The sequence below is a fragment of the Homo sapiens genome, chromosome 2 (genome assembly GCF_000001405.40).
Source record: "Homo sapiens chromosome 2, GRCh38.p14 Primary Assembly".
Classification (NCBI taxonomy): Eukaryota; Metazoa; Chordata; class Mammalia; order Primates; family Hominidae; genus Homo; species Homo sapiens.
Genome location: NC_000002.12, coordinates 68,469,534 through 68,494,446, shown reverse-complemented (window position 1 = coordinate 68,494,446; position 24,913 = coordinate 68,469,534). Strand labels below are relative to the sequence as shown.

Here is a 24,913-nt window from a genome sequence, read left to right as displayed (position 1 = left end):
CTTTCAACATGTGACATGCCTATTTCCCCTTTGCCTTCTGCCATGATTGAAAGTTCCCTAAGGCTTCACCAAAAACCTAGCAGATGATGGCACCATGCTTCCTGTAAAGCTTGCCCATGAGCCAATTAAATCTTTTTTCTTTTCTTTTTTTTTTTTTTTTTTTTTTTTTGAGACGGGGTCTCACTCTGTCTCCTAGGCTGGATTACAGTGGTGCGATCTCAGCTTACTGCTATCTCTGTCCCCCTGGGGTTCAAGCAATTCTCCTGCCTCAGCCTCCCGAGTAACTGAGATTACAGACACCCACCACCACGCCTGGCTAATTTTTTTTTTTTCTCTTTTGGGACGGAGTCTCACTCTGTCACCCAGGCTAGAGTGCAGTGGTGTGGTCTCAGCTCACTGCAAGCTCCGCCTCCTGGGTTCATGCCATTCTCCCGTCTCAGCCTCCTGAGTAGCTGGGACTACAGGCACCCGCCACCACGCCTGGATAATTTCTTGTATTTTTAGTAGAGACGGGGTTTCACCATGTTAGCCAGGATGGTCTCCATCTCCTGACCTCGTGATCCACCCGCCTCAGCCTCCCAAAGTGCTGGGATTACAGGCGTGAGCCACCGCGCCTGGCCACGCCTGGCTAATTTTTGTATTTTAAGTAGAGACAGGGTTTCACCATGTTGGCCAGGCTGGTCTTGAACTTCTGACCTTAAGTGATCTGCCCGCCTTCACCTCCCAAATTGTTGGGATTACAGGTGTGAGCCACAGCACACAGACTAAATCTTTTTTCTTTATAAATTACCCAGTCTCAGGTATTTCTTTATGTCAATGCATGAATGGCCTAATTACGTGTTCCAATTACATGTGTTTCAAATATCTTCTCCCTGTTGTAGTTATCATTTTCATTATAGTGTCTTTTGATAAACGAAGTTTCTTATTTTTATTTCATTGGCTTTTACCAACTGTTTTTATGGTTCATGCTTTTTATATCCTGTTTAAAAACCCTTCCCTACTCTAAAGTCATAAGGGTTTTTCCCTATATTATATTCTAAGAGTTTTATAGTTTGACTCTCACATTTAATCTACCTGGAGTAGATTTTTGGGTCTGCAGTAGGGATCTAATTTTTTTTTCCAAACAGATAACTGTCCCAGTACCATTTACTGATAAAAACTCCTCTTCCCCACTGATACGCAATGCTAGCCCTGGCCCAGTCAAATTTCCACATACATAAGTCCAAATCTAAGGTTGCTTTCAGTTCTAAAATATTATTCAACTGAAGGCACTAAAACTTCTTGTTAAGACAGATCATCAATTAGTTGTAACTTGAAGAAATTTTTTTAAAGAAAAGACACCCAATGCCAAGAGAATCCTGACTTCAGAAACATAACAACAACAAAAAAATACTACAGAGTTCAAAGAACCTGGGCTCTCATTCCCATTCTAGAATTTGCTGAGTATTTAAGATCAGACGTTCTCCAGAAGGCTATGACATTCTAAGTTGTCAAAAAAAGGTACTCGAAAAAGGATAAAAAAGAGCTACCTTTCTCCCATGTCTAAACATCACATTTATGGGAAAGTTTACAAAATTACACTAAATAATATTTAAAAGATCATAAACAGAGGTATAACTTAAATAAATCATTCCAAATTTTAGTTTTATATCTAGTGGTCATGAGGAATTTTTGCTCTAGCTTCTAGTATTATTTCTACTACAGTTTTGTGCTCAAAAGACACCTGTTAATGTCATACATAGTGGTTTTATGATCTGCGTACCATCTAATTAAAGACCCAGTAAAAGTGAAGAGTATTTTAAAAAGGAGCCTTTTTATAACTGAACACTGCTAAAATCTCACATAGAAATTTGGCTCAGTACATACTGGATAAAATTTAACTCAAGGTAAGATTTTCAACTAATAAAATCACCTTTAATTTGGGCATATTTATTTTACATTATTAGTACTCTTTTTTTGTTTGTTTTTTGAGGCGGAGTCTCGTTCTGTCGCCCAGGCTGGAGTGCAGTGGCACAATCTCGGCTCACTGCAAGCTCCGCCTCCCGGGTTCACGCCATTCTCCTGCCTCAGCCTCCAGAGTAGCTGGGACTACAGGCGCCCACCACCGTGCCCGGCTAATTTTTTGTATTTTTAGTAGAGACGGCGTTTCACCGTGTTAGCCAGGATGGTCTCGATCTCCTGACCTCGTGATCCACCCACCCCGGCCTCCCAAAGTGCTGGGATTACAGACGTGAGCCACCGCGCCCAGCCTTATTAGTACTCTTTTGAATAGCCACAAAAGTACAAAATATATCTGAATAATTTTCAGCCAAGTATAGACACAACTCCAACTAAGCACCTTTATTAAAGCCAATTTATAAAACATTTTAAAATATAAATGTCCTTGATTAACACTGAGAAAAAATGTAAATGTTTAAAATATTCATGCATTAGTAAATATGACGGTTTTCTAATCACCTATTTTTGATATAAAAAAATTTAATGCCATGTCAATTTTGTTATAAGAAGGGTTTCTTCTTATCATTGAGTAAACAAAGAGTGTAAAGAGAAAATCTGATATCTATTGAGTTGTCCACAATTCCACTGGTTAATTTGTTCACAAAATAAATGTGCTGACATGGACACAGTGGCAGAGCAGACACTGGAGACTCAGAAGGGTGGTAGTGTGAGAGGTGGGACAGGGTTGAGAAATTACCTAATGGGTACAATGTACACTATTCAGGTGACGGTTACACTAAAAGCTCAGATTTCACCATTTCACAATATAATCATGTAACAAAACTGCACTGCACTCCCTAAATCTATATAAATAAAAAATAATCATTTCTATATTTCAAGATCCCTCTATTCTTTCCTTTAATGTGCTTTAGTAACAACAAAAAAACTTATTTTAGGCCATGGTAGTTCATTGGCAGGGTATTAGAAATTGGGCACTAGAGAATAACATACTTTTGTAAAAATCTACCATGTTCCCACTCCTAGATATGCCATAGATAGTTCTCACCACAGCGTTTACTCATGCATTCAACAAATATTAATTAAATACCTACTATGTCTTAGGCACTATGCTAAACACTAGGGATACAAAGATTAGTCAGAGTTCCTACACTCAAGGGCCTTATGATCCAGTATGTCATCTCAGAAGAATAAGATAGCTGGAGAGGATACAGAGATGAATATCTAATGGTAAATACAGTGGCTCCTAAAGAAGTGTTGACTCCAGATATTAACACTTTTTCAAGACAATAAGATAATGCAGAATGAAGATGAGACATAAACTCTTTTAAAGATTATTTATTCAAGGTTGAGATAAGGTGAATACATTGAATAATTTTTTATTCAAAAAATTTCCAAGTACTAAAATTAAAAAGATGCTTTCCAAATTTGCAAACAGTTAAACATAGGATAATAAAAGCAAGTACTATCTGTGTAAAAGAAAGAACTAATGATTTAACAGGCAGTGGTATATAAAATATGAAAATACAAATTGGTTTTAAAAAGTTATAAATTAATGAATTCCATGAAATTTTACCACCATACGATCTAGTCTAAAATAAATGGACCCTTATGTACGTATTTCATTCTCTTACACAATAGACTCTGCAAATGAAAAGGAATAATCACATTGTATATTCTTGGAAACTGGCTGTCCCTGCATATCATCAGTGATTTCGCAGCAGTAAACTATAAAGCAAGCAATTAAAATTCGAGCCCTCAACAAAAACTTTCAAATTAAAATCATTTTTCAAACCTCGAAGTTGAACAAAGTCTAAGTTTTAGAAATATTCAACTCTATACAGAGTGATAGAGAATATGTTAAAATATAACCCTATAACATTTAAGTTACTTTGGTCACTACCCCAGCTCAAAAAACCAACCATTAATAGTTATGGGCTTTCTTATTATTTGGAGTATTCAATTTTAAACCAAATCATAATATATACATGAACTGGCAGTCATCTTTCATTGAAATTCTAATTAGGTAAATGTGGCATTGTCCTATGAGAAAATATGTAGTTTTCCTCACAGTTTAGATCTTTATCTCCTAATTATTTTCTGGCAATGAGAAGGGTATATTCTGACATTAATTCCCTATTCCCATAACCTTAGAAAATAGGCACCTCTGCTTGGGAACTGAAAGGGTAAGAGATGAAAGTTAAAATGAATCATTAATAACATATTTACCGGTTTGATTCGCAGCTGACCACCTGCCACCTCAAGAATGGCATGTCTTCTGGATACTCTCTTGTCTGTTATCTATACAGTAAAAAAATTAAAAGATTAAGAATAGCCACCTCCTTAAAAAGCAACAAAACAAAAAGGCAAACGAAACCCTTGGCGATGTTTCTGAAATCAGTAGACTAGATATGAAATATATCATTCATTCAACAACTGTATATTGAAATGATTGTCCTCATTTAACAAATAATGAGATTAAAAAAACCTGCCCAAAGTCATGGAAGAGTCAACAACAGAGCCTCAAGCCTAGAATCTAACGGATCCCAAAACCTTGCATGATAGTTTCCATTCATGACAGACATCTACTGGGGATTCTTACCAAGAAAATTCATAAAATACGAAAAGTCTGTATATAATATGTACTTACCAGAAAACATTTCAAATACAAGAAACATATAGTATGTCATGATGATAAAGGTTTTAAAAGGAAGAGATCCCATGCTCGAGGATCTGGTAAGTGTAAAAGGGTCTGACTATAGGCTTTGGGGTCAAAGAGACCCAGATCAGGCAGAACTGCATGCAAACTCTGGGGCCATCAGCAGCAGTTAAGAGTTCAGGAAGGCAAGAAGGGGAATAGTGAAAACCAAACATTTTCAGTAAGAAATAAATTAGCATTTTTTAAAAATATCTATTTGCTTCCTGTTTTGAGCCAACAGTGTTCTACTTAGGCTCACAATCATTTCCACATACCAAAGTTCAAAAATTGTTTGCATGTTAAATGCTGACAGTGCCAATCAAAGCTTTCCCTTTTCACTGTAAATACAATAGTTAAGATTGCCTTTTTTATTTGTGGTTGATTGATAGATAATGAAAACATGTTAAGCACCAACTTCAATAACACCATAACTACCTGACCCATCTCTTGGTAACCTTGATATTCAGCACTTGAATGTTGGCATTATCCGCATAAGGACCAAAATTATCAGTAAAAAATAGACCATACCAACACATAAACTCAATTAAACCTATTAGTTCCACAAAAAATGTGAAACTGCCAGGAGTCAGTACTCATTTTTTTAACCAGATAGCTGTTCCACACTTAAGGCTGTAACATATAGACAGTAATATCAAGCATCGGAATGAGTATCACATGAATGAATTTTTCACAATCTATTGTTAGCCACAATGGCTATCCAAGAAGTAAGTACAAACTAATAATCTATTGTTTCAGAAAAAAAGAGGCTAAAAATTTAAAGATTCCTTTCTTTTTCCCAGATTGTACCTTTTTTTTTATTATTATACTTTAAGTTTTAGGGTACATGTGCACAATGTGCAGGTTAGTTACATATGTATACATGTGCCATGCTGGTGTGCTGTACCCAATAACTCGTCATTTAGCATTAGGTATATCAGATTGTACCTTAGTAGGCTAAAAACAACAGCAGTTATCTGATGACTCATTGCATCATTTGCACAGAACTTTCACTTAAATGTTGTGATTCAACATAACATTGCCATAGCTATTATTAACACTTTACATAGAAATTGAAAGTCCAGAGAATTTAGGTAACTTGGGTAGGTCACTCTCCAAGTAGGCAGCACTCCAAATCCACACTCCTTTTAATAAAAATAGGTAATAGGCAGGGTGTGGTGGCTGCAATCCCAGCACTTTGGGAGGCTGAAGTGGGAAGACTCCTTGAGCCCAGGAATTCAAGACTAGCCTGGGCAACACAGTGAGACCCCCATCTCTACATAAAGTAAAAAATTAGCTGGACAGAGGGCATGTGCCTATAGTCCCAAATATTAATACTTGGGAGGCTGAGGTATGAAGATTGCTTGAACCCAGGAGGTCAAGGTTGCAATGAGCCATGATCGTGCCACTGCATGCCAGCCTGGGGGACACGGTGAGACCCTGCCTCAAAAAAAAAAAAAAAAAAAGATAATAAATGTAGAACACATTTATACATGACTGTACCTACATGTAATCATTCAAAAGTAATTTCAAAAAATGCGGCTGAGAGTAAGCAGTTCCTATTTCTGACTTGGGTACCAAAATCTCATTGTTACTTCCATACTACGAACCAATTTTCTAACCAACAGAGTAATAAGCTATCAAATATAAAACTATGGCATATAAAGCTGGTTCCTTTAACAGTCCATCTTAAATTTCTTTCTTTCCTTTTTTAAACTGTATTTTTTCAGGAAGCAATACATGAACTTTTCCTATCTCTGTCTTTCTTTGAAGTAAGCTTCACTGACACTACGAAGATAAAAGACATTTTAAGTAATATAAAAGTATAATGTGACCTCTAGTGGACACATAACTCCACAACAGTGTAATTTCATTACAAGCTATGTGTCTTTATAGAATACAAAAAGAATGCTATAAACAATCTTTGAAATTAACATCACTCAGACATTTATAGTGTTCCTTTTAAAGTAAAACCCTAAATAGTGAATACACAATAAAATAACCATTTGCACTTTCTCAATGGGAAGCATAAAGGTTTAATAAATTATCATTAAAACATTTTAATGTCACGATTGATATACGGAGAGGGGTGGGGAGCAAGTGACAAACAGATTATCCTAAAGATCTGATGATCTGCTTTATTTAACAGCCTATCACTGCTCCTTATACAGAGTGAATATCCAACACATTTTTATTATTTATTAATACATCAACTGTAATAACAATCAATTATCAACACCAAAGCACCATTCTAGACTTGTCATGTATCATCTTTTTCAGTCTTCACAAAATCTGTGAAGATACTATTATTATACTTCACTTCATAGGTGAGAAAATGGAAGTACAGAGAGTTTAAGCAACTACTCAGTTACACAACCAATAAGTAGTAGGGCCAGGATCTGAACCTAAGGAATCAGATTCCAGAACCATTCATGCTCTTAACGTTGTATTGCATCCCTCAATATCATTACATGAAACCTAAAGCAAAACCTGTTTTTAAGATGATTTACCCAGTTTAACTGTCAAACTAGAACACAGTAAAGAACTGGAAATAAGGCAGAAATGGCTATTTAATAACCAAATAGACATTCAGAGGAGATTCAGATCCTAAATAAAGCTCCAAGAGGCCCTCAGGCTTTCATTTGGTCCTGCTTATCTAATGGCATACCTAAGTCTAACAAGATATGTCATCCAAATTCTTAATTCTCTATTCATAAAGTGGATAGGATTTAGTAGACAGCACACTGACAACAGAAGAAAATGACTGATGTTGGTCTGCAAGTGGAAAGAGAAAGGCTACTAAAAAGCAAAGAAACCCAGGGACTCAAAAAGAATACACTGGTTAGAGGCCATTTAGGGTAGGACAAATGGCATAAATTACTTCAAAATATACTGAAGGCTTGCCCAAGTTTACTTACTGATTACCAAGAGTCACCAAGTTTAAATTAAAACTTCAACTGAAAGTCAGATATTTCACATCTTAGAAAGCCATAAAAAGTTAAATTGAAGAATTCCAATTTTTATAGAATAATTATAGTCACCTAAATTCTAATCACAACACACATTCTTCAAAGAAATCAACAAATAGAGCAAATAAAACTACCCATATCCCATCCCATATGTAATGTAAAACTAGGAGATGGAGATTACTAAAAACTTTAACTTACATGTAAGAGAGATGAGAAATGCCAGTTTCAGAAGATCAAGCCCCAGAACCTATGCTGGAGCAGAGAAAATCAGGTGGCAAATGACAGAAACAGAGGAGAGAGGGAGTGGGAATCTAGGGGTGCTGAAGCATAGGTATCACTCCCAAAAAAAATTAAGTCACACTTTTACTGGGAAATACTAAAAACACATTTCAGATCCAACATTGCAGAGGCCAAGCTAATAGAGAATCCAAAAGAGAGGCATAAAAATATGTGGAACCAGGTATAGCAAGCTCAGAAAAGGCACCACTTCTCAGGGAGAAGGAGGACACTTGGAAGAAAAAAATAAATCCAATAGTATAGATTTTGGCTTCAAAATACCATTCCCCACTGAAAGAAACCAGAGCTCTTTTGAGAAATGTCACATTCCAGGTCTGAAGCACAAAAAGTATAATGTGGACCTAGGATATCTTCTTGTGCCAGAGGACAAAGAAATGCTCAAAAATTGATGGGTGCATGTCAGAAGGACAGAGAAACCAGTGCAAAAAAACTCTGATTGACCAAATTTAGAACAATTCGAGCATCAAAATAGTGATAATACTGGAATACAGCAAATTGAATCCCAAAATAATCCATGATTCCATACAAATCTACGTAAAGTAAAAAATTAGTTGGACAGGGTGGCATGTGCCTATAGTCCCAAATATTAATACTTGGGAGGCTGAGGTAGGAAGATTGCTTGAGCCCAGGAGGTCAAGGTTGCAGTGAGCCATGATCGCGCCACTGCACTCCAGTCTGGGCGACAGGGTGAGACCCTGTCTCAAAAAAAAAAAAAAAAAAGAGATAATAAAAAAGATTCCATATGAATCATGGATTATTTTGTGATTCAGTGTGCTGTATTCCAGTATTATCAGAGGGTAAGGCTGGGAGAGATGCATTTCTTTATAAAAGAATGCCAGCTAAAGCAGAAAAAATGGTAGAACCAGAAAAATCACTATTTTCTAACTATCAATGTAAAAATTAAGTTAGGAACGGATAAAAGGATGTTTATTTCCCAACAAGAAAAAGGTCTGTTGGGAATAAATATTCATGAAGTCTCAGTATCACTCCACAGATTACTGACAAAGGAAATGGTAGATTAACTGCGAAATCTGGCAGATACCACCTTACCAAGGTGATTACACTTACCACATCACCACAGGAGGACAAACTGATAGATGTGCTTCCTAATGTGGTACTCTGAATAAACATCACCTACTTAATATTTTCAACAAAAATGTTTAATGTGAATCAAATTATGTGCAAACAATCGGAAAAACAAAAATTGTGGGACACTCTAGGAATAACTGGCCTGGACTCACAGAAGCACTGATGTCATTAAAGACAAAAGGCAAGAAAACCGTTCTAGATTAAATTAAAAAAAATTTAACTGGATCCTGATTTTTTTTAAAAAAATGCAAAAAGTGCATTATTGAAAACGATGTACAAAACCGAGTATGGGATATTAAAATTTATGGCACAGTTACACATTTCTAGAATATAATAACAGAATATAGCTATATAGAAATGTCCTTGTTCTTAGGTGACACATGTTGACATATTTAGTGAACTGCCATAATGCATGTATGTACTTTCAACTGTGTTCAGGAGAAAGAAAAAAATGTGCGCACACACACACACACACAGGCATATTACAGAAGAAAAATCAATACCTTATTTGATTAAATTGCTGTTTGTCAAATTTCTGTTACTTGTAGTCAAAAGCAACTGTGATTAATATACATTCCTCTAACAATTGTTGTATTTATTTTTTTTTTTAGAGATGGGATTTTGCCATTTTGGCCAGGCTGGTCTCAAACTCCTGGCTCCAAGTGATCTGCCCACCTGGGCCTCCCAAGGTGCTGGGATTACAGGCATGAGTCACTGTGCCTGGCCTTAAACTTTTTTTTTTTTTTTTTCAGACTAAGCTTCGCTCTGCTGCCCAGGCTGCAGTGCAATGGCACAATCTAGGCTCACTGTAAACTCTGCCTCCCAGGTTCAAGCTATTCTCCTGCCTCAGCCTCCCGGGTAGCTGGGATTACAGGCATGCGCCACCATGTCCGGCTAATTTTTTTTTTACATGTAGTAGAGACAGGGTTTCAACATGTTGGTCAGGCTGGTCTCGAATTCCTGACCTTGAATGATCCACCCACCTCTGCCTCCCAAAGTGCTGGGCTTACAGGTGTGAGCCACCGTGCCCAGCCCTAAACTGCATTCTTAATATTGTTTCTTGAATGTGAACAGGTCTCTCTATTCTTATACCACTTTTGTAGTGATACCATGTGGATCCCTTATATTTGACTTTCTGGTTTTAAATATTACTAGAATACTTCATCTACTATAATATACATACAGGTCCCTTCTCTAGTTTTAAGATATGAAGATTATACCAGAAGAAAAGATAAACACATGAAAACATAAAAGAACTCTTTATGATCTGTTACCAAATACTTATTTTTGGTATTTATTGAAGTCAAACAAAATGGAGATTTTCTTATGTGATGAGCAGAAATACTTAGATATTTTGTATCAAAGTCTGTGATCTGTTTGTTTGACTGCAATTCTCAAAATTCTAAAAACGAAAGAAACAACCCTGAATAAAGTAAAAGCAGAAAAGCTACTGGATCTTGAAATAGAATAGGGTGGTACCTTTCATTTCATTTTTTGTCTACATATAATATAGACAACACAAGTTAATTTTTTGTAAAATGCTTTTCTAGAGAAGTTTCTGAACATCATAGACAGGTATAATATATCGCATTAATTCAATGTTCTCATGTAACTTGGTTCCTGTACATATAAGAACAGAAAATAGTTCATTTTTCAGTATAAACTATATTACAAATTGTTTTTTAGTATAAACTGTATTACACAGGATATTATAGTACAAATATAGTACACAGGATGTATATTATAGTACAAATTATTTGTTTTTCAGTATAAACTATATTACACAGGAAAGGTTAAGATAATTATATAATACTTTATACTTTAATTTTATAAAAATTATCTTGTATGAATAAAATCAGAAAGATGGCTGACTAGAGGTGCCCAATGCGTGCCTTTGCCCCCCAAAAAGGGACCCAAACACAGAATCAACAACTACAATTCAACTGGATTGTCTGAGGGAAAGCACTGAAGTGCAGCAAGAGAGTGGCAAGATCCCTGTGGAGCACAAAAGCAGGATGAAAAGAGGTGCAAGGCACCCTGCCTCTGCTGTCCCATCTCCCCAGTGAGACTGGCTGGGAGCCAGGAGGGACTTCTTATGGGGTAATGGTAAGCACAGGGCCCCAGCCACAGAAACTTGCAGTCCTTACTACAGGAGAATCCCACAGTCCTTACAAGCCTTGAGCTGTTTGGAGAGCTACCTGGAATTTACAAAGCTACATTACTCCACAGTAGGAGCTCGTGTTATGCGCTCCCCACCCTTGCATGACCTAAGCTGCTACAGCATAGCATCTTCTTGAAACCAGAGCCACTGCTGGAGGGCGTCCTGCTCTGGGGGCCAATAGCCACTGTGTCTCTCTAGCTTTGAGGCTCTACCATCATTCCATAAAGACCACATGAAGGACTGTAATGCAATGACTCCAGTTACTGAGAGCCTGGGCCCAGGGACAGTCATGACTCTGGTACTGCATAGTGGGGAAGTCAACCCCAGGCTGGCCAAAACACCACATGCCTACACCTCCAGCTGCAGAAACAGCATAGCAGCCCACCCCTGGTACGCACTTCCCCAAGCTAGCCAAACCATTGTGAGCTCACACCCCAGCCAGAGAAACAGCAGACCACCCCCAGTGGGCATGCCACCAAACTGGCCTAATCATTGTGTGTCCATACCCCCAAATGAGGAAACAGTCTGGTGGAACCACCCTAGGCGGACATACTCCACAAGCCAGCCAAACTGTCCCACACCTGCACTCCTAGCTGGATAAACAGCCTGGTGGCTCTTTCCTCAGTAAGCCAGACCCTAAGCAGCCAAACCACAACATGTCTGCACCCTAAGTCTGATAAACAGCCCAGAGAGCCAGTCCCTGAGGTCTCTGCACACCAGCACCCTCAGCCTGAGAAGTAGCCTAGCAGCCCTGCCCTCAGTGACCCTGTCTCCAAGCCAGCTGACTCACTATGTGTACATGCATACCCCTGGCTCAACAACCAGCCTGGCGAGCCCATCTCTGGCAAAGTCACACCACCACTACCACCACACACTTCCACAGCCTAGGCCACTGAGGCACTTGCAAACATCACTAATATGGGTTACAGCTGAGGAAACTGCACAGAGACCATACAACTGTGCTCACTCAGAACCTAAGCCAATGTACTCTACCTGTCAGACACCATAAGACCCATCTAAAGGAATAGGTCTTTCCCTGTGAAAGCTACTGCATAAAATTAGAAGAGGCAACTATTCCACCAGATGAGCAGATATCAATATAGGGACATAAGAAACATGAAAAAAACATAACAACCCCAAAGGAACACATTAATTCTCCAATAGCAGACTCCACAAAAAAAAAAAGAAATTTATAAAATGCCAGAAAAAGAATTCAAAATAACTTTAAGAAAGTCAACAGGATAGAAGAGAATGCAGATAACCCAATTTACCAAAATCAGAAAAATAATTCATTATCTAAATGAGAAATTCAACAGAGAGAAACATCATAAAAAATAACCAAACAGAAATCTTACAGCTGAGGAATTCAGAGAATAAAATAAAAAATAAAATCAAGCCTTCACCAGACTATATCAAGCAGAAGAATTTCCGAACTTAAAGACAAGTCTTCTGAAATAACCCAAAGAAAAGAAAAAAGTATATACTAGAATGAAGAAAACCGATTGAATTTATGGGACAACATTAAGCGAACAAATATTCACATTATGAGAATTCCAGGAAAAGAAAATATGGAAAAGGCATAGAAAACCTATTTAATGAAATAATAGCTGAAAACCTCCCAAGCCTTGAGAGACAGAAGGATATCCAGATGCAGGAAGCGCAAAAGTTCTCAAATAAATTCAGCCCAAAAAGTTCCTCTCCAAGGCACTTATAGTCAAATTTTCAAAAGTCAAAGACAATGAGAAAATTCTACAAACAACAAGAAAAAATCATCAAGTCACATAAAAGGGAATGCCCATTAGACTAACAGCAGATTTCTCAGCAGAAACCTTACAGGCTGAGAAAATGGCATGATATGTTTAGTGCTGAAAGGAAAAAACAAACAAACAAACAAAAACAAAACAAAACAAAACAAAACTGCCAGCCCAGATGATACCCAGTAAAGCTATCCTTTAGAAATGAAGTTTTCCCAAACAAGCAAAAACTAAGGGAATTCCGTCACCACTCAACAAGCCCTACAAGAAATACTTAAAGGAATTACTACAAGGCTTCACTGCTGAATTCTACCAAACTTTTAAAAAAGACTAATACCAATTCTTCTCAACCTATTCCAAAAAATTAAAGGGAAAGGAACTATTACAAGTTCATTACATGAAGCCAGTATTACCCTGAAACCAAAACCAGACAAGGACACACAAACAAAAAGAAAATTACAAGTCAACATCCCTGATGAACATATAGATTCAAAAATCCTCAAAAAAATACTAGCAAACTGAATCCAAGAACACATTAAAAAGATTATACACCATGATCAAGTGAAATTTATCCCAGTGATGCAACAATGGTTCAAACATACACAAATCAATAAATGTGATATATCACATCAACAGAATTAAGGACAAAAACCATATGATCTCAAGAGATTCAGAAAAAATATTTGATATAATTCAGCATCCCTTCATGATAAACACTCAACAAATCAGGTATAGAAGAAACATACCTCAACACAATAAAGGGCATATGTGACAAACCCACAGCTAACATCATACAGAAAGGGGAAAAGATGAAACCTTTTCTTCTAAGAATTGGAACAAGCTAAGGATGCCCCACTATTACCACTCTTATTAAATATAGTACTATTAGTCCTAGCCAGAGCAATTAGGTAAGAAAAAAAAAACAGCCGGGCATGGTAGCTCACATCTGTAATCCCAGCACTTTGGGAGGCCAAGGTGGGTGGATCACAAGGTCAGGAGTTCAAGACCAGCCTGGCCAAGATGGTGAAACCTCATCTCCACAAAAAATACAAAAATTAGCTGCACATGGTGGTGGGCGCCTGTAATCCCAGCTACTCGGGAGGCTGAGGCAGAGAATTGCTTGAATCTGGGAGACGGAGGTTGCAGTGAGCCGAGATCATGCCACCGCACTCCAGCCTGGGTGGCAGAGTGAAACTCCGTCTCAAAAAACAAAAAAAAAAAAAGGAAAAAGAAAGGGCATCTAAATGGAAAGGAGGAAGTTGAATCATCCCTGCTTGTAGATAACATGATCTTACATCTAGAAAAACCTAAAGACTCCACCAAAAGAACACTTAAAACTGATAAACAAATTCAATAAACTTACAGGATACTTTAACAATATGGGGGTTAGGGGAACCAACCTTGACTCCCCCAAAACTTAACTACCAATAGCCTACTGTTGACTGGAAGCTTTAATCAATTATAAATGATTGATTAACACATATTTTGCATGTTATATGTATTTTACAGTATATTCTTATAATAAGCTAGAGAAAAGAGCATGTTATTCAGAAAATCGTAAGGAAGAGAAAATATATGTATTATTCATTAAATGGAAGTGGATCATCATATAGGTCTTCATCTTCATTGTCTTCACCTTGAGTAGGCTGAGGAGGAGGAGGAATAGGAAGAGCTGCTCATGCTATCTCAGGGTGGCAAAGGTGTAAAAGGTAAAGGAGGTAGAAGGGAAGGCAAGAAAGGCAGACATACTTGGTGTAACTTTATGAAAATACATGATAACTTGCCTAACTTTTTTGCTTTCCATTTCTTTAAAAAAAAAGTTTTTATACAGTTCCAATCTTATTCCACCATTTGTTTAGTTTCAGGGTCTGTATCATAGAAAGGTCCATGTTGTAAAAGAAAAGCAGTCTTGAATAAACGTAACCCTTCTGCCACAGTGTTTAGTGTTGGTTTGGTAACTGGCACTGCTGCTTCTACATGTCTTCCTCATTGCTGGCACTGGCTCAGAAGCATTCATCTCCATCAAGTTGTCTTGTGTTAATTAGTGTTTATTAGCTCTTGAATTTCTCCAATATCTATACCTTGAAATCCTTCACCCCTGACTTTTTGGCCATATCCACAATCTCTTCCATAATTTATTTGATTGGCTTTGTCATAAAACCTGTGAAGTCATGCATATCATCTGGACAGTTTCCTTCAGCAGGAATTTACTGCTTCAGGCTTGATGGCTTTCATGACTTTTTCCATAACAACAATGGTGTCTTCAATGGTGTAATCCTTCGGGACTCGTGATGTTCTCTCTAGGGAGGTTCTCTTCCATAACACTGACAATCTTTTCCATAGAGTACTGTGTATAATGAGCCTTAAAAGTCCTTATGATTCCCTCATCTAGTGGCTGAATTAGAGATGCTGTGTTTGGGGGAAAGTAGACCACTTCAGCACCTTCGTTACTCAACTCATGGGGCTCTGGGTGGCCAGAGGCATTGTTCAAAAGAATTCTAAAAGGCAGTCTCTTACTGGCAAGGTACTTCCTGACTTCAGGGACAAAGCATTGACAGAACCAATTCAGAAAAAGGATTTTCATGTCTACACCTTCTCTTTGTACAACCAAAAGAATGGCAGCTGGTGGTTATCTTTTCCCTCCAAGTCTCAGGGGTTAGCACCTTTGTAGATAAGGGCAGTACTAATCATAAACCCAACTGCATTTGCACAAAACAGTAGAACTGGCTATCCTTTCCTGCCTTAAATCCCAGTGCTCACTTCTCTTCCTTACTAATAACTGTCCTTTGTGGCATTTTTTTTTTCCAGAGTAGGGCACTTTGATCTACATTAAAAAACCTGTTCAGACAGACATCCTTTCTCCTCAATGATTATCTTAATGACATCTGGGAATTCATCTGCTGCTGCTTGGGCAGCAGACACTGCATTTTCTGTTACCTTGACATTTTAAAAGCCAAACATCTTTTTAAAATTATTAAACCATTCTTTGTTGGCATTAAATTCTCGAGCTTTAGATCTTTTACCCTCCCTTTGCTTTAAGTTGTCACATAATGGCTTTGCTTTTTCTTGAATCATATTAGAGTCTATAGGTATGTTTTTCTTATAGCAAGCCTCTATCCACATAAAAATTGCATTTTCAATACAAGATAAAAAGGTGTTTTACAAAAAGCACAAGGTTTTCCCACCTGCTGGCATAGCTGCAGTGAAAGCTTCATGAATTTCCTTTTCCTTTTTTTACAATCGTCCATATGCTGTATTCATTTATTTTGAAATGGCAGGCAACACAGCTGCAGACCTTAATCTACTGTATATATCAAGGAATTCAACTTTTTCTTGTAATTTTTCTTTTCTTTTTTTTTTCTGCCATTATTTTTCTCTGCTTTTTGGGAGAACTTCCAGTATCACTAGTGGTATTTCACATAGGTCCCATGGTCCCATGGTGTGTTAATCAAGGTTTACGGTATTGCACTAAACACAATAAAAAAATACAAGACTCATGAGACATCACCTTTTTTTTTTTTAAAGAGTGATATAGTATAGTTTGGCTGTGTCCCCACCCAAATCTCACCTTGTATTGTAACAATCCCACATGTCAAGGGTGGGACTAGGTGGAGATAACTGAATCATGGGGTGGTTTCTCCCATACTGTTCTCAGGGTAGTAAATAAGTCTCACGAGATCTGATGGTTTTATAAATGGGAGTTCCCCTGCACAAGCTCTCTTGCCTGATGCCATGTAAGACGTTTGACTTTGCGCCTCATTCGCCTTCCACCATGATTATGAGGCCTCCCCAGCCATGTGGAACTGTGAGTCTATTAAGCTTCTTTCCTTCATAAATTATCCAGTTTTGGTTATGTCTTTATTAGCAGTGTGAGAACAGACTAATACAGACAGGGTCTCACTCTGTCACTCAGGCTGGAGTAAAATGGTGCAGTCATGGCTCACTGCTGCCTCAATCTCCCAGGCTCAAGTGAGGTTCCCACCTCAGCCTCCGAGTAGCTGGGATTACAGGCATGTACCACCATGCCTAGCTAATTTTTTTTTTAATTTACTTTTTGTAGAGATGGAGTCCCATTATGTTGTCCAGGCTGATCTTGAATTCCAGGCTCAAGCTGTCCTCCCACCTCAGCCTCCCAAAGTGCTAGGATTACAGGCATGAGCCACCACACCCAGCTGAGATCTGTTTTTATTATGATATACAATTTACTGGAGAGTTGAACTGCTCATGCTGAGATGATTCACATCACACGTTGTCGTAAGCAGATACCTGCAACAGTAAAGCTCACCAAAACAGCAACAAGAAGTGGCTAGAAATTATTACAGAAGTACAGTATGTATTACAGTGAATTTTATGCTTTACATTTGTCTACATATCTCTCAACTGCAAATGGCACTATGTACACTCTGTGTTTGTGTGTGTATGTTTTGATAAATTTTACCTTTTTATAATAGATTTGAGTATATTTTATGGTAGTAAATGATAAAATAGACTACTACCTACATATATTTCATTTATTCATGACATATCTTTTTAATTTTTCAATGTTTTTTAAATATAGAGTTTGTGAGGTTTTTCAAATTGTCACAAATCTCCCAAAAACTTTTCCAATATACTTGTTGAATCTGCATAGAAGTGGACCTATGCCGTTCAAAACCCATGTTGTTCAGGGTTAACTGTATTCACAAAATTGTGCAACCATCACTTCTATTTCCAGGATGTATTCATCACTCCAAAAGGAAACCTCATACCCATTAGGACTTTGGGTTTTAAGTGTGACAGTAAGCCACTGGAAGGTTGTACTGAAAATACTATTCAGAATATTAATAATAAAATTTATAGTATAATATTAATTAAAAATCAGTGGTAACTATTGCACAATATATACACTGAATAAAATATATATACCTATGTACACAGATTAAATACATGAAAGAACTACATTGAATGTTTACAGTGCTTATCTCTTGGTAATTGACTTCGAAGTGCTTATTTTGTCTTCCTGCTTACTTGATTTTGGTGAAATTCCTACTTTTTTTTTTTTTTTTTTTTGAGTCTCACTCTGTTGCCCAGGCTGGAGTGCAATGGCACAATCTCAGCTCATTGCAATCTCTGCCTCCCAGGTTCAAACGATTTTCCTGCCTCCGCCTCCCAAGTAGCTGAGATTACAGGTGTGCACCACCACAGCCGGCTGTTTGTATTTTTGGTACAGACAGGGTTTCACCATGTTGATCAGGCTGGTCTCAAACTCCTGACCTCAGGTGATCTGCCCGTCTCGGCCTCCCAAAGTGCTGGGATTACAGGCGAAAGTCCTACATTTTCTACATTGAGTATATAATCTTGCAAAATTGGGAAAGAGCATAATACACACAAAAAACATTACTTTACACAATACTTCACAATTTACAGTGCTTTCCCAAAAGATTATCTAGTTTGCTGTATCAACAACAGACAAAAATAGACAAATTCAAATTTTCATGGTAGAGAAAAACAGAAAGTCATCTAGTATAGGATTTGAGCCAGTATTATGGTGAAATGCATAAACCTAAAAAAAAAAGCATGGGATCTATTTTAGACATAATTTCATTAGATTATTTCCTTCTACTTTTGTGGAGCAGAGGGTAAGTAAAATATATATATATATATAAAAGACTTAAACTGAATCCAGACTGGTTACTATAAAGAAATCTACAAATCATAAAATTGTCTTATCTAGATATCTTCCCAGTGCCAAGTCCAGCATGCATTCCAGAGCTCAGTCATCTATGCTGAGACTCTGCCATAATATTTGATAAGAGGTCGGTCTTATTCTTCAACAGAGCAAAAGTAGTTGATATAAGATGTTTGACATTATCGTATTTGGAATGTACAAAGTCCAACTTCTGATGTTAAGAAGGGGCAATTATGAAGAAATAGACTTGATTTTGCCCAGAGACTCCCCATAAACACTTCAATTCAGAAATCAAGTTCTCTTTAAAAGGTTAATATATTTGATGTGAAATGTTCTTTGGAACTTGTGAATATGCTTTCCCATAAGAATAATGGTGTAAATGGTAGGTTATCAGGCAACCTCACAAACACCTAATTCACAATACTGATTAATATGCATCACTTTAGATTTTAAAAAGCAAATCCAATGCTTTTTGAGCTCTAATTCAAGGCTGGTGAATTGTTAGCCAATATGATGAAATTGTGCTGACTATCATGATGTCACTGAAATTTCAACTCATCCAACCTGTTTGGCTTGCAATGCTGCTTACATAGTGAATGCTGCACAAGTGTGAGAACATCATCCTCATCATTAATATATGATGACAGAGGCAACATAGTAAGTAAAGACATAAGGAAAGCTTAAGAAGACAAAAGTGGGTTTAAAGCACCACTTGGGACTTTGGAAAATTAATGTGTCTAAGTAGTTATTTTGCTTATTCAGTTCGGTTCAGCAGACATTTCTTAAAGACCTATTCTGTGCCAAGTACTCTACTTAGTGTGTCTAGAAGTAGTTTTTAACTCTGGCTTTGCAATACAATCATCTTCAGAGCTTTTAAAAATACAGATACTACCCAGGCGCGGAGGCTCACGCCTGTAATCTCAACACTTTGGGAGGCTGAGGCAGGCAGATCACCTAAGGTCAGGAGTTCGAGACCAGCCTGATCAACATAGAGAAACCGTGTCTCTATTAAAAATACAAAATCAGCCGGTTGTGGTGGCACATGCCTATAATTCCAGCTACTCAGGAGGCTGAGGCAGGAGAATCTCTTGAACCCAGAAGGCAGAGGTTGTGGTGAGCCAAGATCGCACCATTGAACTCCAGCCTGGGCAACAAGAACAAAACTCCATCTCAAAAAAATACAGATACCCAGACACTACCTACAGAACCAAATTACCAAAGAAAGGAACTCATACAAAAGTATGAAGACATGTGAGAAGATAGCATATTCATGGTAAGTAGTAAATGGGGGATGAAAATTTGAAGGCATTAATTCAGGGGAAGATATATATAATTGTAAAATATAGTCTTTGTCCCTGTTGCCTGGCATAACCACTAAAATCCTCAGAATCTCCCAAGTGATGTCTTTTTGTATGCTAATGAGTTAAGTGACATCTAGCAGCCCCTAGATAGCTTCAGGGTGGGAGCTAGTCACTGGAAAGACCAAGGTATAGAGAATTGGGACTTTCAGCCCCAAGCCCCAGCCTCCTCTAGGGAGACGAGAGGGGCTAAAGGTTAGCTGATCACTAATGCCCAATGGTTTAATCAATCATGACTAAATAACGATGACTCCATAAAAACCCAAAGGGGACAGGGTTAGGAAAGCTTCCAAACAGGTGAACATGTAGAGGTTTCTGGAGGGTGGCACACTTGGTGAGAGCATGGAAGCTCAGTATCCCTTCCCATAGCTTACCCTATGCATCTCCTCATCTGTATCCTTTGTCATATCCCTTATAACAAACCAGTTCTAGGAGCTGCTCTAGCAAATTAATAGAGCCCAAGGAAAGGGCCATGGGATCCCTGGTTTACATCCAGTGGTTCAGAAGCACAGGTAAAACAACTTGGGGCTTGCAATTGCCATCAGAAGTGGGGGGAAATCTTGGGAACTGAGCCCTCAACATGTGGGAGCTGATGCTATCTCCAGATAGATGGTGTCAGAATTAAATTGAATTAGAGGACACCCAGTTGATGTCTGCTGTAAAAGTGACCGCTTGCTTGTTGGTAGGGAGAAATAACCACATATTCAATCACAGGAGTCTTCTGTGTTGACTGCTGTATTTTTGTCCACTCAAAATATACATATGAAAAGTGATTTACCTCACATCTATTAGAATGATCAAAATTTAAAACACTGATAACACCAAATGTTGATAAGGATGTCCAGTGACAAGAACTGTCACTCATTGCTGGTGGGAATGCAAATAGTACAGCCACTCTGGAAGACAGTTTGGCGGTTTCTTACAACACTAAACATACTATTACTATACAACTTTACTATCCAATCCAGCAACTGTGCTCCTTAGTATCTACCTAAATGAGTTGAAGACCTACGTTCACACAAAAATCTGCACCCAAATGTTTGTAGTTGTATTATCCATGATCACTAAAACTTGAAAGCAACCAAGATGACCTTTAGTAGGTGAATGGATAAACCGACAATGGAATATTATTCATCACTAAAAAGAAATGAGCTATCAAGCCATGAAAAGACTTGGAGGAACCTTAAATACATATTACTAAGTGAAACCTGAAAAGGTTATGTACTGTATGACTCCAACTCTATGACATTCTGAAAAAGGCAAAACCATGGAGAAAGTAAAAGAATTCAGTAGTTGCCAGGGGTCCTGGGGAGCCTCTGGGGGATGAATAGGCAGAGCACAGAAAATTTTAGGGCAGTGGAACAACTCTGTGTTATACTGCAATGGTAGATAAATGTCATTATACATTTGTCAAAACCCATAAGATGTACAATACCAAGAGTTAACCCCAGTGTAAACCATGAACTTTGGGTGATAATGACATGTCAATGTGGATTCATCAATTCCAACAAACATACCATACTGTGTAGAATGTTGATAGTCGGGGAAGCTGTACATGTAAGAGGGCAGAGAGTATATGGGAACTCTCTGTACTTTCCACTCAGTTTTGCTGTGAACCTAAAACTCCTCCATAAAATAAAGTCTATTTTAAAAACTAATATATTAAAAAACAATGTTTGTAAAAGTTAAACGGGATCATTGACATAATGTGATCATCCCACAAGCCTGGTCAACACCTACCCAATTATCCAACACACCATATCTTAGAGCCTTAAACCACGCAAGCCCTTCCTTACACCACCCACTCCACCTACCAAAATTCTAACTGTCCCAACACACCACAGTCAAACTCAACATGCTACCAAGTTCATGAAGCTTTCTTTCCCTGATCCCACCTCTTAACTTCAGGTTCCTTCTTATACCTCTCTGTACCCTGTGACATCATTCTGTCTAGCTTGAGGACTAAGCTCTGATTATTATTTTTTTTTATCTTGCCCAAATTCCTTTCTAAGGGGTCTGGGGAGTCATGCCCTACAAACCATAAATTCTCATCAGATGAGTTTTATTTAACCCTGTATAACGTGACTTACTTTCCAGTCTGACTCAGGCATAACAAGGAAGAAAATCAAAATGTTTTACCCTAAAATATATTTCTTTGCCATACCTTGGAACTGTCCTGCAAAGTCTCTTGTGGGAAAAACCCACATTCTATAGAGAATTCCCTTTCCCCTTTGTTTTCCTTCCTTCCTTTCCAGATCCAGGAGATAATCAATTAAGAGCCAGGCACTCTTTCAGGTCTCATAAGAAACATTTTACAACCTGCTATCTCTGAAGTCCGCTATCTGAGAGCTCTGCAAAATAAAACTTCGTCTCCACAATCCTTTATCTTAACCTGAACATTTCCTTTGATCTTAGGTCTTGAGATAAACTCAACTAATTGTCAACCAGAAAATGTTTAAATTTACCTATAGCCTGGAAGCCCCTGCTTTGGGTTGTCCTGCCTTTCTGAACCAAACCAATGTATTTCTTAAATGTATTTGATTGATGTCTCATGCCTCCCTAAAATATATAAAAACCAAGCTGTACCCTGACCATCTTGGGAACATGCTCTCAGGACCTCCTGAGGGCTGTGTCACGGGCCATGGTCACTCATATTTGGCTCAGAATAAATCTCTTGAAATATTTTATAGAATTTAACTCTTCATCAACAGACTCATGGTATTTAACCAAAACTTTTAATAAAAATGTGACCTTTTAAAAATCAGTGATTATATCTAAAAATTCAAATTTCTTACTATTCTTAAAAAAACAATATGACACTGTTACCAACTGGGAATAGGGGAAAGTAGCAGGGATTGCATAGAGACCCTCTCCTTGTGGCCTTCCCAACACTGAGGCAGAACTGTTGTCATTTATCACTGTCCCTGTGTTGTTTTTCTTCTTCCCTCCCACTTCGCTTACTCCAAGTGTCAGCCTGGCGCCAGTCCCCATGTGAGGTTGTAGCCTTATTTAGTTACTAATACTTGTTTATTTGTCTCTTAACCCTACAAAACTATAAGTTTCTTGAGAGCAAAGACTTGTTTCTCATTCACCTTTATTTCTCCTATACTCCCTCCCATCCAACCATAGTATATATTTATCAGCTATTTCCTGAATTTAGCGAATTATCAATCAACAAAACAGGAAAAATGTTAAAACTTAATTCATTATGAATGCTACTCAAGATTTAGCAGTTGGTAGGACTGCATCTTTACTATATTTAAATTCACTTCAAAACTCAATGATAACCCTTTTTCATATCTAAGTCACAATTAGGCTCTTTTTGAGGGTAGAGTGAATGAGAGGCTGAGATGCCGAAATGGAAGGAAGAAATCACGTGTTAAAGGCCTACTGTGTGCTAGGCACTGGTTGTAGGCTAAATAATAAAATGAGGGAAGGGCAAATCTAGAAATAAAAGAAACGTAAGGGAAGAAACCTATGTTGGAGCAGGTAGGAACAGCATTCCAGGACAGCCAGGATTCTGCAACAAGCAGTTAAAAGTATAGAGCTGCCAGGTCAGGGGATGGTTACTTTGTGTAAACTTTGTAGAACATTTACAACATTCTTAGAAGTGGTGAACTGATGCCACCTGAAGAGTCTATACTGAAGCCTATGACCTTCCCTGTTCCCCCAACTGAGGACTCTTCTCCTTTTAATCAAAGCAGTCAATTTAATTACATCTACATTGAGAAAGTATCACTAGATATCTTTTGCTATCTTGTTTCCTAGGAGGAAAATAGATCATAAAGAAATGTGTCATATAATCCCTGCTGTCAAAACAAAATAAGAAAAATCTGAAATCAGAAATAGTAGATTTCATTTAAGAGTGTAACAGCTTTAATTAAAACCCATAAAGCAAATACTTTGGCCTAACAGTGCTTGACATGTCGTACTGTAAAACCCTTTTAAATTAAATTTCTTAAGATAATGGTAGATTCACATGTAGTTGAAAGATATAATATAGAAATATCTCTTGTACCATTTATCCAGTTTCCCCTAATGGTAACGTCTTACAAAACTATAGTACAATATATCAACCTAAGATATTGATACTGACACAGTCCAGACAAAGCACATTTCTATCACCACAAATATCCCTCATGTTGCTATTTTATAGCCATATCCATTCCCTTCTGCCCTGCTGCCTAATTTTTTAACCTTTGGCAACCACTAATCTGTTCTCCATTTTTGAAATTTTGCAATTTCGCAATTTCAATGATGTTATATAAATGGAATCACACAATATGTAATCTTTTGGATTGGCTGTTTTAACTCAAGTTCTCTGAAGATTAATCCTGCTGTAAAACCTTCTAACTGATGCCAATCATGGAGCAGAATCAAAATCTAGTAAACAAAGACCTGGGGTTCTCTGATGACTCACATGAAAGCAAAGGGAACAAGAAAGATTAAATTTCATTGTCCTTTGTTCTCTGTGACAGGTTTCTCTGTTGTGTTTTCCTACCACCATAAAAATACAAAACCATTCTCATTGTCAAACTGTTTTACTACCAAGACTATTTTACACAGTCAGATTATAAACTTTTATGTTTGTGTGGCCATCAAGGTTTGTGAAGCTTGTCTCAGAAAAACATGCCCAATTAAGAAAGTTCAAAATCATCCTTATTTATATTAATCGTTTCCGATTCCAATTTACAATGAACTTACTGAGTTTTCCACTTAGAACTCAGTCTTCGCTCTCTCACAATACAAAAATAAATCTCACTGGAATTGCTGTTGTTGGAAACAGGAGCCCTTATGTTGTGTTTTAACCAGTGCAGAGAAGAATCGAGTGCATCTGTCAGCTCCAAAATCGAAAAAACTACAAGGCGATTTGTTTGTTCTCCAAATTTTTCCTTTAACACACTTAGGATGTCATTCATAACCACTTCTGATACACGCCAACCTTGGCAAAAGAATCTCATCCCTG

General features: G+C 37.7%; 1 protein-coding gene across 1 annotated transcript in view; it reads right to left on the bottom strand.

Moving 5' to 3' along the window:
* Window positions 1-24,913, bottom strand: part of APLF (aprataxin and PNKP like factor) — a 112,578-nt gene that overhangs the window by 85,716 nt on the left and 1,949 nt on the right. Inside the window, exon 2 of the mRNA NM_173545.3 lies at window positions 4,186-4,257. Within this exon, the coding sequence (NP_775816.1) occupies window positions 4,186-4,257 (72 nt within the window). The remainder of the gene's footprint in view (window positions 1-4,185; window positions 4,258-24,913) is intronic.